Below are 17,032 nucleotides of genomic sequence, written 5' to 3'. Positions count from 1 at the left end.
CTGAATGATGCTCAATAAGTGAAATGGGAATGAAGACAACTAAATAAAATCAGGAAATGTGAGTATCAACAAAATAATAAAATATATAACAAGAAACAAAGTGTGGGACTGAAGAATACAAGAAAATAACAGAAATGTTTATACATAAGATGTAAAAAAAAATCAAGAATAAACACAAAAAGAACCATAACAAGACACATTATAAGCAAGATTTTGAAATCACAGAGAGGAATAAGATGTTGAAAGCAGCAACAGAAAAGGGATGTGTCATTTATAAGCATTCTCCTATGGGATTACCTGTGAATTTATCAACAGAAACCTTGCAGGGCAAAATGGAGTTGAGTGATATAATCAGGGTATTGAAAGAAAAAACAAAAACTTTAAAGCAAGAATACTATTAACAGTAAAACTGTCCTTCACAATTAAGAGAAGATGAAGATTTTCCAAGATAACCAAATGCAGAAAAACTACATCACCAGTACAACTGTCCTACAGAAAATGTAAAATGGACTCCAGCCCATTGAAAATAAAATGTGTCATTAAACAAAAAATTATATACAAATACATAACTGTCTGGGAAAGATGTACACATATACAAAAATAAAATTCTGTAGTTTTAGAATGATGGTGCTGAAAACACTTTTACTTATGCTCTACAATTTGAAATATGCATAAGAACAACAATAAACATCTGTTGATGTCTCTATAATATGAAATATATAATTAGTGACATCAATAATATGAAGTTTAGGGTAAAAATAATGAAAAAAATTTCTGTATGCAACTGAAGTTAAGCTATTACCAGTTTATTATATGTTGTAACTTTGGGGGTTTTAGTGATTCTCATGGTAACCACAAAGAAAATACCTACAGAGTACACATAAACACACACAGAAGAAGAGAGTAGAAGCAATGGCTACAAGAATCCAATAAAACAATAAATGACAATAGTAAGTAATTATGTTTTAGACAGCTATTCAAATATTCATCAACAAAACATCCCAATCAAAAGACTGAATAAAGAGATTTGGAAAAAATTTTAAAAACCACAAACTATGTCTTGTCTCCAAGACACTAACTTTAGACGACTGGCATAATAGACAAAGCGGCAGGAAGAAAGAAGATTCCATGCAAATAGTAACCAAATGATAGTTGGAAAGGTAACAATTATACTGGGAAAAGTACATTATATGTCAACAACTGTTATATTTCACAAAGTATACTTTAAGCCAAAATTGTCACAAGAGAAAATATGAGCATCAAGTAATAATAAAAGTGTTCATTTATTGGGAACATATATAATTTATAAGCACTCATGAATACATATAAGATTTACTAAGAACATACCTTCCCCACTAGGTTTCCCAAATATATATGTTTATTAAAAAATTCCACACAAATTTGAAATGCAAAGAGAAAACTAAATGGAAAGTGAAACCATATAGGAAGAGTAAAATCAGCAAGTTGTTGGAACAGGAGGTCCTCTTCTTGTATATCTCCCAAAGCAACAAAAATTTATCAGTCATCTATGGACATAAGTGCCTTTGTGACAGAGCCGGGCACCATACCTCATATTTGTAATTCCAGCTATTTGAGAGGGTGAGGCAGAAGGATTACTTCAGGCCAGGTGTTTGAGACCAGCCTGGGTAACATAGCAAGACCCTGTCACACAAAAAGTACATTTATGATTGCTTTGTGATTCAGGCAGGGGGTTGTAATACCCTGCTAAAAGCACAAGACCAAGGAAAGCCTTTTTCAGAAAGCAAGTCTTCCTTCAGGTGGCAAACTTGAGGACGCTGGTCTTGGCTACAGACGAGGAAATGGCCCATTTAACATGATTCCACTTAGAATTCTGAAGTAACACTGTAACTGTCATTAACTCCTCCCAGCCATAGTCAAGAAGAGGTCCTACCCAGTCAGAGAGCTGGGGTCAGATGCTCATTCACGGCCATAGATGCAGAACTGCAGACCTTGACATTTACTGTGGTCTCTGAAGCAGGTGAATAACTCAGTTCTAGACCTTTAAGCTACATTCTGTGGACAGTCTTGCCAACCTAGAGACCTGTGACTTGGTAAAAACCTCACAAGTACTGGGTGAGAGCCACACACATACAAACACTTGGTATTAGGCCAAGTGTCTGCCCTATAGATCAAAGTGCTGAAGGCAACTCAGTTGGCCAAGGAATAAGACAGAATTCACAAGCACACAAGCCCCTGGTAATAAGCCCACCAAAGACAGACCCCATTGTGGACCCTGCCAACAACCTTAGGACTCAGGTATATCCCCTCTCTACTATGAACCCAGAAAAGATCTCATCAGCCTGGAGACCCAATAGGATAAAATCTTTACCTGTATAAACCAGTTTATAAAAACTGGTAGAGGTGTTTGCTCCTTCAAATGCACAGACACCAATGCAAAGTGATATTGTGCCCATTATCAATGCTTCTATTTTAACATAGTCCTGGAAGTCCTAGACAGAACAATTAGGCAAGAAAATTTTTTAAAAGCCATAAAAATTGAAAAGAAAGAAGTAAAAATACTGCTGTTTGTTGATGACATTATCTTATATGTAGAAAGCCATAACAAATAAATCAAAAATCTCAGTAAATTGGCAGAATATAAAAGGTTATACAAATATCAGTTTTGTTCTAATACACTAACTACAAACCACTTAATAAAAAAAACTCATTTACGGTAACATCTAAATAAATTTCATAGCAAAAACTTAAACAAGTGAAAAATCTTTACATTGGGAAATAAAATATTGATAAAAGAAACAAGAGAAAACAAATAAATGTAAAGATACCCAATGTTTATGAATTAGAAGACTAATTATTGTAAAGTGTCATATTATCCAAAGCAATCAATAGATTCAATAAACTTCCTATCAAAATTCCAATGGCCATTTTTAAAATAATGGAATAAAATTTTAAAATTTATATAGCATTACAAGACATTGAATAGTTGAGAAATAAGAACAAAGCTGGGGGCATCACACTTTCTGATTTAAAGCTCTATTTGAAAACTATGGTAATAAGAGTAGGATGGAACAAAATAGATACAAAAAAAGGGAACAAAATAGAGAGCTCAGAAATAAACCCATGCATATAAGTTCAATGAATCTTTAACAAGGGCGTCAAGAATACACAATGCACAAAAGATAGTTGCTTCAGTAATTGATGCTGGGCAAAAAGAATATCTACATGCAAGTGAAATTAGACAATTTTTTCTTACATGACATCAAGAAATTAACTCAAAATAAAGACTTAAATGTCAGGCAGAAATCCTTAAAAATCTTAGAAGAAAATATATTTTAAAAACTACTTGATATGGTTGTGGTAATGATTTTTTGAATATGACATCAAAAGTACAGGCAACAAAAGCAAATATTAACAAGTTGGACTGCATGAAACTAAAAAGCATCTGCACAGCAAGAAAAACAATAAAATAAGAAAACCTGAAGGATGGGAGAAAATATTTGCAATCCATATATCAAATAAAAGGTAGATATCAACAATATATGAGGAACTCAGAAATCAAAAGGAACACAATAATAATGATAATAATAATAAAATTGAAAAACAGGCAAAAGACCCAATAGATATTTTTCCAATGAAGACATACAAATGCCAACAGATATATCAGAGGGCTGACTATCACCAATCATCAGGCAATCACAAATCAAAACCATGATGAAATATCACTTCACACTTAAGATGACTAATACATATACATTAAAAAGTGAGGTAACAGTTTGACAATAATGTGAAGAAACCGGCTAAGCGCAGTGGCTCATGTCTATAATCCCAGCACTTTGGGAGGCTGAGGTGGGCAGATCACCTGAGGTCAGGAGTTTGAGACCAGCCTGGCCAACATGGTGAAACCTCGTCTCTTCTAAAAATACAAAATTAGCTGAGTGTGGTGGTGCATGCCTGTAATCTTGGCTACCTGGGAGGCTGAGGCAGGAGAATTGCTTGAACCTGGGAGGTGGAGGTCATAGTGAGCTGAGATCATGCTATTGCACTCCAGCTTGGGCAACAAGAGCAAAACTCCATCTCAAACACAACACAGCACACAATGTGAAGAAACAGAAATCCTGTACTGTATACTTTAAAAGTTGTAAATTGGTGAAGTCGTTATAAAAATTAGTATGAAGGCTCTTAGAAAAAGATACAAGTATCATAAAATTCAGCAATCCCAGTTCTGTGTATATAACCAAAGGAAATGAAATCAGTATCTCAAAGAAATAGCTGCATCCTCATATTTATTACAGTATCATTCACAATTGCCAAGATATGACAATAACCTAAATGTTTTTAGACAGTAAATGGATAAATATGGTTTACATACACAATAAAATATTATTCGGTCATAAAAATAATGTAATTCTGCTATTTAAACAACATGGATGGACTGGAAAGACATTATGCTAAGTAAAATAAACCAGACACCAAAAGGCAGATACTGTATGATCTCACTTATACAAAGAATCCAAAATGGTGAAACTCACAGAAGCAGAGAGTACAGAGGGAGTTGGCAGGACCTAGAAGTTAATAAATTGGGAAGGTGTTTTTCAGTTTTTTTGTTTTTTTTTGGGATGGAGTCTCGCTCTGTCACCCAGGATGGAGTGCAATGGCAGGATCTGGAGTGCAGTGGCTGCTTGCTGCAGCCTCCACTTCCCAGATTCAAGCAAATTCTCCCGCCTCTGCTTCCTGAGTAGCTGGGATTACAGGCACCTGCCACCATGCCCAGCTAATTTTTGTTTTTTTTAGTACAGATGGGGTTTCATTATGTTGGCCAGGCTGGTATCGAACTCCTAACCACAAGTGATCTGCGCACCTTGGCCTCCCAAAGTGCTGGAATTGCTGTTTGGTTTTAAGATGAATAAATTTAAAAGATCGAATGTGTAATTTTATGAATACAGTTAATAATAATGTCTTGTATGCTTAAAATTTGCTAAGGCAGTAGACATTAGGAATTCTCACTCCAAATCAATTTGAGTGTGTTAATTATAGTACAATGTGTACACATCAAATTTTTATGTTGGACATACATAATTTTTATTTGTAAAAGAGTTGTTACACACACAAATAAATATATATGCATGCATGCGTATGTGTGTATGCCCCAGTAAGCTTTATAGTAAATAAAAACAAATTTAAAATACAGTTATTTAAAAATAAGGTAAAAGGTGGGAGTTTAATATACGCTCAGCAATCTTCCAAGCTCCCTAATAAAATAGTATTTTTTTTAAATGTAGGGAGTAGATATATTAAATTATATTACTGTTGATATTGTAACAATGTGGGCATAGAGTTTAAATTACCAATCTCAGTTTTTACTTAGAAAATAAAATTTTGAAGTAAAATAAGTTTAGATTTTCTTATATTTAGTGTTCTGATAAAATCACTGAGTATGAGCTTCTGTAAAATCACATTTGAAACCTCCATAGGATAGAAAATCATAAAGCTGAAAATACAACATGTTTGTGGTGTTCCTGGGATTTCTGAACCAAATGCCAATATACCACTACTCTTGCAAATTTCAGACAAGATGCAAAAAGAGAATTAAATTGTGTAAAATAGAGTTCCTCAAAAATATGTAGATATTCCTATGTTCCACAAAGCAATGGAAAAGCAGTCAGATTATATAGTGCCTTATAAACCATGAAGAGGACTTTGCCTCAAAGGAAAATCACTTCATGGGTAGTGGAATCCTTAGAGAACTTAAGAGCATGGGGCAGAAGATGCTCCTGTGAGGGGAAGACAAACAAAACCAGGCTTTTCTGAAGCAGAGCTGCCCAAACCACATTTTCATTTCTGGCTTTCTCCTTGACATTTGGGCCTCTAACCTGTGTCATCTGCTTTATTTACTCCTACCTGCCTTGAAATTTGGCTACTATCACCTGTCTCTTTAAACTTCCAGGCTGTTTTCTTTGCTCTGGAAAGGTGATCAGGTCTGGATTAGACACAGCAAGACCTGTTTCATTAGAAAAAATAACATGACTCTTGCTGGCATGCTCCAGTTACCAACCTGGTATGGTGCTCAGTAGGAAAAAAAATTTTTAGAAGGTTCTAGAAAATTAATCCAAAAATACTATTTTCTGACATTAACTATACAATATTTAGAAAGGATTTTAAATGTATAGGTTCTTTTTGTTTGTTTGTTGAGACGGAGTTTTGCTTTTGTTGCCCAAGCTGGAGTGCAATGGCATGATCTCAGCTCACTGCAACCTCTGCCTCTCAGGTTCAAGTGATTCTCCTGCCTCAGCCTCCCAAGTAGCTGGGATTACAGGCACATGCCACCACGCCCATCTAATTTTTTTTTGTATTTTTAGTAGAAATGGGGTTTCACCATGTTAGCCAGGCTGGTCTCGAACTCCTGACTTCAGGTGATCTGCCCACCTCGGCCTCCCAAAAACATATAGGTTCTCAGCTCCACTACCCAATACTACTGAATCAAAACTTGGTACTGTAATTAGATTTTGAGGTGTGGGCAACAATATCTTATGCCACTAAAGTTCTGGAATTACCAGTCATCTAGAGTGAAGAATTTAGACCACCTTAAAATTTATGTCAAGATGAAACATTTTGAAGATTTTATTTTCTACACCAACAAATTCCCAAGTTTTCCTTAGAAGCAGAGATCAAAAACTCATTCATGCAAATGACAAACTCTCAGGTAACATTTCAGGAGTGAAAAATATGGAATCCGTAGTATGAAATACATAAATTGTGTATTGAAGTTATCCTCACCCAGGGAGACCAGGTTTCTGTAGTTCTCGAACATCACATCCCTATACAAATTTCGCTGGGCAGGGTCCAGGCATGCCCACTCCTCTGGAGAGAATTCTATGACCACATCACTGAATGCCAGTAGTCCCTGGGGGGGGGAAAAATACACACGTATTTACAAAATGTGCCATGGGCAGAGTTCTTAATTTGACTCCAACTGAAGAGAGTAAAGTGAACTTGTTCTGGCAGAAACTGTCCAGTAAGACATTGTTTAAAACACAAAGATTCTCGAATGCATTCTGTAACTCTAAGGAAAGAGGATGGCATAAGATTTACAAAACCAGTGTAGATGCTATATTTTTATAAGTGTTGTAGTATAAAACTAAGGGCGCCAATACATGCATTACATATTGGACAGCTATATTTACATTACACAGGATAAGCTGGATAAATTTCTCAGATGGAAAAATCATCTGAAGTGCCTCTCAGATTTTAACGCATACAACAAGAAATTGGAAATCTGTTTAAAATGTAGATTTTGATTCAGAAGGTCTGGGCTGAAACCTGACTTTTTGAATTTTGAACAAGTTCACCTGTGATGCCAATGCTTCTGAACCAAGAAGAATATTCTGCCAAACATTAAGTGGCAGGGCTTTTATCTCAGTTCATTTGACCATTAAACAAGAGCCTTCATTTTCCAAAGCAAAATATAGGCCAAATAATTTAAGAAGGAGAACTTCCAAATTAAATGTGATGGTTTATGCCCATCAGTTATTAAATCTCCCCAATGTACTTAATAATACAGAGAAAACTAATTTGCTTTATAGTGCAGAAATCTGTCAGAGAGCACCTTAACCTAGTGAATAAAATTAACATCAACTGTAACAGAAAAAAACTGGTATCACGTGTAAAAATGCACAGGAGGAGGTTACAACATCATTGCTATGATAGCATAGGTCAAGAAGGCAAAATCTGAATCTAATCATAAAGAAACATCAGTTTCATGCGAAGCTCCATCAACTTTCCTTTAACTAATCCAAGGACCCAAATCCATCTCCAATGGGAATCTTGGGCATCCACACCTGCCTATGTTCAACAGATACAAAAGAAACATTCATTTTGCAGGTCAAAATTTATAGTAAAGATTGCTTATGGCACTTAAAAAGCCTGAATGGATATAAAACATTGATATATAGGAAAGAAATATTTTTCAGAGCCCCCTGACTATCATAAGAAGAAAAATTTTAAAAGTACTTGAAATAAATTTATTAGGCAGAAACATTACAAATATATAAATAAAAGTCTGCAAGTTTTAAACACATGACATTTCTGGAGAAACAGCTGACCCAGCCCTTGACCTAGTACTCATTTACCCGAGAACCAGCCATTTCTTCCTCTTTTTCTGATTTCTGTTCAGATGAGATTATCTGGACAAATCACACATCTTGAGAATATGCCTTTAGAGATGTCAGCACAACTCCTTCACCTGCTATGACCATACACACAGGCAGAAGGACCTTGAAATGCAGAAAAAGCTACTCTCCTGTTTCTTCATCATACAGGACAGGAACAATGAGCTCCTACGTAAAGGTCAGAATGTGAGTTTTCATTTTCCTGCTATCAAGTGCCCTTCTCTGCCATGGAAGCCAGCAATTTTGGCTACGACAATAAAAATACTGGCTGCACTGACTTGACCACACCAAACCAAAAGAGAGCAGGCCCTGTGACCTTCCTCTGGAACAAAGGCTGAACTCAACTCTCACAAATGTATCTAAGGGCCCTCATGCTTGACCCTGACCTTACCTTAGGATCACATGGGGTACTAAACTAAAACAACACCGATGTTCTTACCCAGACCAACAGACAGAACCTGTGGGGAGGGTAGAAGTGGGAGTATTTCTTTAAACTGGCCATGTGATCCTAATTGGAAGCTTGGGCTGAGAGCCACTTAGCTAAGCATTGCTTCTGGAACTTCAATGTGCATATATCATTTGCTATTCTGAGCCCCAATTTAAGTAATGTGATTCTGTAGGTTTGGAAGAGGTCTATTAACTGGCTTCTGTAAGAAGTCCCTGTTCGTGTTAATGTTGATCCTCCTAGGCCCATCATGAGTAGCACTTAGCTAGAAAAAAACAGGCACAACAAACAGAGTCCCTTTACACAATACTCTTAGCCCAATACAAATATTTATGATCCAAAGTGAAGACCACCAATCACAATTCTGAAACATGGCATTGTCTGCTAGCCCTTTAAAGTTTAAAGAGGACCACAATGTCTGGGCAAATCTCCATTTGGGAAACAACTTGTGCACAAACATTAATGCCATGTTTATGGAGCATGTACTATGTGCTCGGAAGTACACTACAAAGCATTACACAGGGAACCTCACATTATGTGAGTTAATCTTCATAAAACCCCGAGAGGTAGGTGCGAAGTGTCTCATAATTGCCAGGATGTAAATACAGGGCATATCCTTTCTATTTCTTTTTCCATTTCTCTATCACTGATTTTAAAAATAAAATGTATAGGCCAGGCGTGGTGGCTCACGCCTGTAATCCCAGTACTTTGGGAGGCTGAGGCGGGCGGATCACCTAAGGTCCAGAGTTCGAGACCAACTTGGCCAACATGGCGAAACCCCGCCTCTACTAAAAATACAAAAAATTAGCTGGGCGTCATGGTGGCAGCCTATAATCCCAGCCACTCGGGAGGCTGACGCAGGAGAATCACTTGAACCCGGAGGGCGGGGATTGCAGTGAGCCGAGATCATGCCACTGCACTCCAGCCTGGGTGACAGAGCGAGACTCCATCTCAAAAAAAAAAAAAAAAAAGAAAAGAAAAGAAAAGAAAATATATAAAATAAAAGCTAAATATAGATGGAAGAGACACAGAAATAAGTGTGGCATATAGGTCAGAGGAACTTTTTATTGTTATATATTTATATTTACTGTTTTATAACTTGGAGAGCAACTACTGAATCTGAGGAAATAGAGAACAGGTTACTGAGCAAAATGTTTTTAGAAACACAGATTTTAATTAAAAAATAAAAATTAAGGCACCAAAATATAGTCTTCGGCTCCCATTTATCTGTTTGGATTTGGGAAAATTGTGGGTACCAGCTTTGGGGAGGCAGCAAGAGCAGCTACTCAAACCTCTGATCTCCCCTAATCAGTTGCGTGAGGGGAAATGCCAGGGTGGAAACATATTTAGACAAGGTTTCGAAGAGGGTGAATCTGGGCAGGGCTGGGACCTTGGGCTTCACATCTTTATACCACTGGCTTATTTTCAGTTACGTCTTTCCTAAGGCTGCCCATGAGAAACCTGACTTTCACAGTTTGTGTGATTTCAATTAAGACAATTCTCTATTCTGTAACCTAATAATAAATATAATATAAACCTTTAGAATTTTCTGGCACTAATATATTAGAAGCTAAATATTTTATTCCTAAGAAGGTAAAAGCATTTACTGCCACCACCATTGCTGTACTACTACCACTACTACTAACTCCTCCTCCTCCTCCTCCTCCTACTACTAATAATTCTGTTCAGGAATGGCCATTCAGGTAGTGACATCAGAACTCACAATAACATTAGGGAAGTAAGAAGCTCAAATGAAGCCCAAGTTCCCTGTGCACCTCTCTCTCTACTTTTTAAAAAAACAGGCCACATACTTCCAAATTCAAGCATTTATCTACATTTTCTAGACTGAAAGTTCCCGGATGATGGAGCCATGACAGCTCCATTTGCTTTTCTAATAGCCACATCAAATGGAGGCAATTGGTCTATATATTAGTTTGCATCTCCAGATCTCCTCTTGGTTCTTCATCCAAGTACCAGGAAACTGAAGAAACTCCCATCTAGGTACCAACCAAGAAGATTCATTCTGTGAGGGGAGAAACAAACCCCAGATGCCTTATTTCTCTTCCACTGAGATGAAAGCAGAATACAACCCCATCAACAGTCTTCACAGGACATCCCTAAATGTCTCACAGAATCTCGGATGCTGATGAGAGGGGTTCCAGTAAGCCTAGGCTGATATCCCCATGATGAATCAGGCAGGACCAATTCAAGGTATTCCTATGAGGCCAGGAAAGTAAATTAAACTGCCCTTGTAAAGCAGCTGACCCTGGATCCATGTGGGATACTACCTGTCCCTGATCAGCTAACTCTTGGGTAAGAGGAAAGACAAAACTATCCTACTCTAGTAAGAGTTCACATGTGAGGTGTAGTTGTGGTCATGACTCTGGGCATTTTTGTGGTGCTGACCTCTCATTGCTAAGGTACTTGTTTACACTTAAAGATTCTTCCAGGTCCTGCTGAAGGTAGGCTTTACTCTCCAAAAGAAACTCTGAGACAGGGTGCTCTACCTTTTGCTATTCGCACAACTGCAGCAGGTCACTGGACAAAATCTACAAAACATGGAGAAACCCACTCCAAAAGAGGGACTTTACAAAGTCTATGTTGATGTCTCACACGGTAGATGTCTCCCCTGAGTTTTCTATCCATCCTCAGTTCAAAGTCTAGCCCTTTATTTTGAATCTTAGGCAAATGCCAGCCCCTCTGTATGGACTGTAGGCAGAGTCAACCTGGTTTACTATTTCGTGGAGCTACAGAATGGGGAGAAAATCTGGAGGAGAGATAGCCCTCATGAAGCCTTCTCTAACAGATGCTGAAGAACCCCAGGACCTAGATTCAAAAGTTTAAGCTGCAGATTTAGGTCTTTGAGGGGCAGGAATGTGACAGGTGCCCTCTGCAGATTCCAACAGGAGAAGGAATGAAAGTTGAGAGTCTTAACGCCTACTCAATACACAGATGTGAGCCCAGTTGTTTCTGGGTCCCACTATCTCTGACTCAGTTTTGGGTCTGAAGATGCCGGGGCATTAAAAGAAAGAGCTGGAAGGTCTGTTTGCTGTTTTGTGAAGTTTTTTTTTTTTTGTAGAAATATGGTCTAATTCCTCTCAAAGAACTGTAGATTCCAAATAGAGAGACCTTTCTATCTAAAAATTGTGCAATATTTTGCTGTACAATTGTGAGATGTGACTGGACGCCCCAAAAAAGAAAGGCCCCTTTACAGTGAAACCTTGTGGGTAACATATGTTTATATCATGTTTGGTAATTCTGGACAGTGTTTAAAAAGCAACTAAAAACAAAATTATTTTCAACTCCAGAAAAACTCTCCACAATGGTAGAACAGAGAGAAAACTGTTGCTTTTTTTTATAAAATTGAACCACAATGTGACATATATCACGTCATCTGCTAAGAGACTGCAAAAACAAAAATAAAAGTAATGAAAAGTAATGAAAAAAGTAGAAGACAGAATCTTTTTAAAAAATATATTGTTCAGGCTGACCCCATTTTAGGCCTCAGCCCACCTGCATCCAGGCGCTCATTAAAACAGCATGTTGCTCCACACTGCCTTGTGTGTTGGCACTCTCTTGGGGTTTGAACCAATACAAGAACCTTACATCTGGTGCTGAGACCCAGGAGGGGCTCAGATCTGCACCTGTGGACCTACCCCTCCACTCCGGAGAGCAGGCCATAGCAGCCAGACAAAGGAAACTCCTCAGCCTCCAGTCGCCTCTCTCTGCATGCACATCGGTCACTGATCTCGCCTACTGGTAAGTTTCCCGGGAGCCTGGTTAGCAGGGGAAAATCCACACGGCCTCTCTTGATTTCTCCGGTCTGAAAATCCAACGTTGGTCCAAGAAGGCTCTGGCGTGTGCCAGGTACTCAATGATCATCTGGTCTTAGGAGGACGCCTCCAAGCCATTTGATTCCGTTTGGGGAGGAAAAAGGCAGCAGTGATGATCGCTCCTTTTATCATCTCCCTCCAGCCATCCAGGATGGTCTCCTTTTCCCTGTTCTCCCAAGCCTACCCTCCGTTATGGGAAACTCCCGGTCCTCCATTCCAAAAAACAGCCCTCTAGGCTGCCCCATAAAAAACCTGCAAACCTTAGGCCTCAGGCAAGATATCCACCCTAAACACCTTGTCTTTTTTTGCGATACAGCCTGGCCGCAGTACGAATTAGATAACGGGTCCAAATGGCCCACAAATAGAACATTCGACTTTACAATTTTAACTGACATAAGCAATTATTGTCGACAACTGGAAAAATGAGGAGAAATTCCTTATGTCTGGGCCTTTTTGCACTCAGATTACACCCCGACCTCTGCAATTTTTGCTCACCTGTTCAAATCCTTCTCCTCCATTCCCTTCTCCTCCATTCTCGCTGCCCTGATCACCTTTCTCCTCCCAACCCTACCTCTTTTTCCTCATTAGATCCAGCAGACTGCTGCCCACCCCTCCCAGTCCCTACCTCTTCCTCTCAACCATCTTCTTTAACCCCCCAAGCCTCCTTGTTGTCTTCTCAGCCATCTTCCCAGCTGCCATCTTCCCAGTCAACTGTATCCACTTCTTTTCCTACACCATCCTCTCCTCAGGACAACTCTAGCATTGCCTGTACTCATTCTCCTTCCTCACCACCCTCTCCTGAAGCCTGTAAACTCATCCCACCACCTTATGCCCCGATCTATCCTCCACTGCCTATTAACTCAATCCCCTTTCCCCCTTCACATCCTCAGCAGGAACCACTTCCAGGTTCTTCCTTCTCTCCTGCCCATACTCGCTCAGGCACCATCTTTGGCCCATGCCCCACCCTTATTTCAGCACCTGTGCTAGAGTGCCCCCTTCAGGAAGTAGCAGGAACCAAAGATATTGTTAGAGTTCATGTTCCCTTCTCCCTCACTGATCTCTCTCAAATTAACAAAAGACTCAGTTCATTTCCAGAAGACCCTGCCTCTTATATTAGGGAGTTTCAGGACCTTACCCAGTCTTACGAAGTAACCTGGCATGACCTCTATGTTATCCTCTCTTCCAGCCTCACCCCAGAAGACCGGGACTGTATCTGCACCCTAGCTCAGGCACATGCTGATACAATTCATCACCAAGCTCCTGCCCAGCCTACTGGTGCAGAGGCAGTCCCCAACCAGGACCCCCACTGGGATTATCAAGACGGGGCCTCTGGACACCGCTTTTGAGACCACATGATTGTGTGTCTCCTTGCAGCACTCAAAAAGAGTGCCCATTTTTAGAAATCACCCAAGGTCCTGAGGAAAACCCAACCCTTTTTCTCCCTCATTTAACTGAAGCCATGAGAAAATATACCAACCTAGACCCAATCAGGCCAGAAGGAACCACTATTTTAAACCTTCGGTTCATCTCCCAATCCAACCCTGATATTTGGTGCAAGCTTCAGAAGCTTGATGACGGCCCTCAAACCCCACGGTGAGACTTTCTTAATTTACCCTTCAAAGTCTTTAACAATCGTGATGGGGAAAGTAAAAGGCAAAAACAGGCAGAGTTTCAAATGCTTGCCTCTGCCATCAGGGGCCCCCTGCTGGCCCACTGGGTGGCAGCTCCACACAGAAGCCTCCTAGCAATCCACCTCCACCTGGCTGGCACCTGTTTCAAGTGCGGCAATGAAGGCCAATGGCCCAGACAATGCCCAAACCCAGGTAAGCCCACCAGGCTGTGCCCCTCTGCAGAGGACCCCACTGGAAGTTGGACTATGAGCGGCCCCAGCAAGGACCGCCCCCAGCAAGGACCGCCCCCATCCCTTCCCGAGCAGGCCAAAACCTCATACTTGGATCTCATTGGCCTTGCCACTGAAGACTGACGGTGCCCTGGAAAGGACACCCTGGCAACTACCATCGCTTCATCCGAGCCAAGTGGTAACCCTGATGGTGGCAAGTAGGCCAGTATGTTTTTTTAAATTAATACCAGGCAAGCTACTCTGCTTTACCTAATTTTTCAGGACCCACCCAGTCCTCCCAAGTCTCTGTTGTGGGAATTGATGGACAACTCTCCAAACCCCAAGCCCCTGCTCCACTCTTCTGCTCCCTACACGTAACCTTTTCCTTCACTCACTCTTTCTTAGTTCTGCCCTCATGCCCAACTCTGCTCCTAAGCAGAGACATCCTTTCAAAACTCCACATTACTCCCTACTTCCACATTTCCCATAGTACCCAAGACATCCACCTAGACCCCTGTGGTACTTCTAACTTTCTTCTACTCCTCCAACCTCCCACCTTAAAACATGCAACTTTTCCTTATCCCCCATCTGTAGTCAACCCCGCTGTTTAGGCGCAAAACACCACACCACCGTCTGCATTACCCTTAAAGAGCCCACCCAGTTTCTATCACAGAAGCAGTATCCCATCCCCCAAGCAGCTCTTGTAGGCCTAAAGCCTATCGTTTCTCACCTCCTTGCTAGTCACCTACTCTGCCCAACAAAATCCCCTTTTAACACACCAGTTCTATCTGTTAAAAAGCCAGGAACTTATCGCTTAGTTCAGGACCTCAGGCTCATTAACCAAGCTGTCTAGTAGTTCCTGACCCATATACTTCACTTTCCGCAATTCCCTCCAATACCACCCATTTTTCTATTCTAAACATAAAAGATGCTTTTTTTCACAATTCCTTTACACTCTAATTCCCCAAACCTCTTTGCCTTTACTTGGGAAAACCCCGACACCCACCTTTCACGTCAGCTCACCTGGTGTGTACTACCACCTCAATGTTTCAGAGACAGCCCCCACCTTTTTGGACAGGCCCTTGCTCACGACCTCTCTACCTTATCCCTAAAACCGTCCACTCTCCTTCAATATGTTAACAATCTGCTCCTGTGTAGCCCCTCCCAAAGAGACTTCGACACCCATACTATCTCTTTTAAACTTCTTGACAGAACAGGGGTATTGGGTCTCCCCTAAGAAAGCAAAAATATGCACCCCCTCAGTCACCTATCTAGGCCTAGCTCTTAGCCCGTGAACCCGAGGGCTCACAACTGACCGCACATCCCTCCTCCAGTCTCTCCTGCCTCCGCAAACCAAGCAAGAAATTTTCTCTTTTCTAGAACTAGTGGGATATTTTAGGCTCTGGGTTCTCTCCTTCGCTTTACTTGCCAAACCGTTATACGAAGCTGCTAAAGGCCCTCTCCATGAGCCCTTAAAACCTGCACAGCCTATTACCCGACCTTTCCATCTACTCCAAAAGGCTCTCATTTCAGGCCCCCGTCCTCACTCTCCCAGACCTCACCAAACCTTTCTCCAACTATACCGATGAACAGCATGGAGTTGCATTAGGTGTTCTAACCTAGTCTAAGGGACTCACCCTCCAGGTTGTTGCCTACCTCTCTAAACAGCTTGAAGCCACAGTTCTCAGATGGCCTGCCTGCCTCTGAGCATTGGCAGCAGCTGCTGTCCTCACCCTTGAAAGCCTAAAACTATCTCTCCATGCCAACCTAACAGTTTATTCAACCCATAAGATCAAAGACATGCTAGCTCACCGCAATGTACTAAGTCTCATCTCTGCCTCACGGCTCCTCCAACTGTATTCTCTATTCATAGAAACCCCCCAAAGCACTGTGCTAACCAGCTCCCGTCTAAACACAGCCATGCTCTTACCTGAAGCTACAACTGCCCAAGACCCTATACACTTCTGTGTGAACACTGTTCAAACCTTACTTATACCTCTTCCAAACCTAAGACCAACCCCTTCCAGATGCCTCCTCTACTTGGTTTGTAAATGGCAGCTCCTTCCTACATCAAGGATACTGGAATGCTGGCTATGCTATAGTGTCACCTACAAACACACACTATTAAAGCCAATCCACTACTTCTAGGCACCACCTCTCAAAAAGCTGAACTCATCGCCCTCACTTGAGCTCTGACTCTAGCAGCCAGAAAACAGATCAACATATATTCAAATTCTCGTTATGCGTTCCACATAGTGCATTCACACTCATCCGTCTGGAAAGAATGGGGTTTATCTGCCAATTTGACCCTCACCAAAAGCTACAACCAAAATGGACAGGCCCCTACACTGTGATACTCAGCAGGCCAACTGCAGTGAGAGTCCAAGGACTCCCCCACTGGGTCTACTGCACCAGGGTCAAGCTCACCCCCAAGGCTACTCCTTCCTCCAAAACATTAACAGTGGGCAGCACCCTCGGAGTCCCTGTATATAATAACCTAAACAAAGAAAAAAACTATCCTTAAAGGTAGGAGGAAGCCAAAAGATGGCAAAGGGACAAATAGCCTCCACAACGGATCATCCAATATTATGGTCCTGCCACTTGGGCTGAGGATGATTCATGGGGTTATTGCACTTCTATATATATGCTAAATAGAATAACTAGACTACAGGCTGTTCTAGAGATAATCACTAACCAAACTGCCTCAGCCCTGGAAATGCTCGGCGCAACAAAACCAAATGCGTGTAGCAATTTATCAAAACAGGCT

The 17,032-nt window shown here is 40.7% G+C and overlaps 1 protein-coding gene across 5 annotated transcripts in view; it reads right to left on the bottom strand.

Moving 5' to 3' along the window:
* ZNF678 (zinc finger protein 678) overlaps positions 1–17,032 on the bottom strand; it is a 116,114-nt gene that overhangs the window by 26,243 nt on the left and 72,839 nt on the right. For 3 of the 5 annotated variants that reach the window (NR_102302.2, NM_001367910.1, NM_001367909.1), the window contains 2 exons: positions 6,757–6,883; positions 2,351–2,471 (listed from right to left, as the gene is read on the bottom strand). Coding sequence is in view for 4 of the 5 variants with exons in the window: in NM_001367910.1 (NP_001354839.1) it covers positions 2,351–2,435 (85 nt within the window). In the remaining variant the exon portion in view is untranslated. The remainder of the gene's footprint in view (positions 1–2,350; positions 2,472–6,756; positions 6,884–17,032) is intronic. The other 2 variants (NM_178549.4, NM_001367911.1) reach the window with 1 other exon arrangement.

This window comes from Homo sapiens, chromosome 1 (assembly GCF_000001405.40).
Source record: "Homo sapiens chromosome 1, GRCh38.p14 Primary Assembly".
NCBI lineage: Eukaryota > Metazoa > Chordata > Mammalia > Primates > Hominidae > Homo > Homo sapiens.
This window is presented reverse-complemented; position numbering and strand designations above follow the sequence as displayed.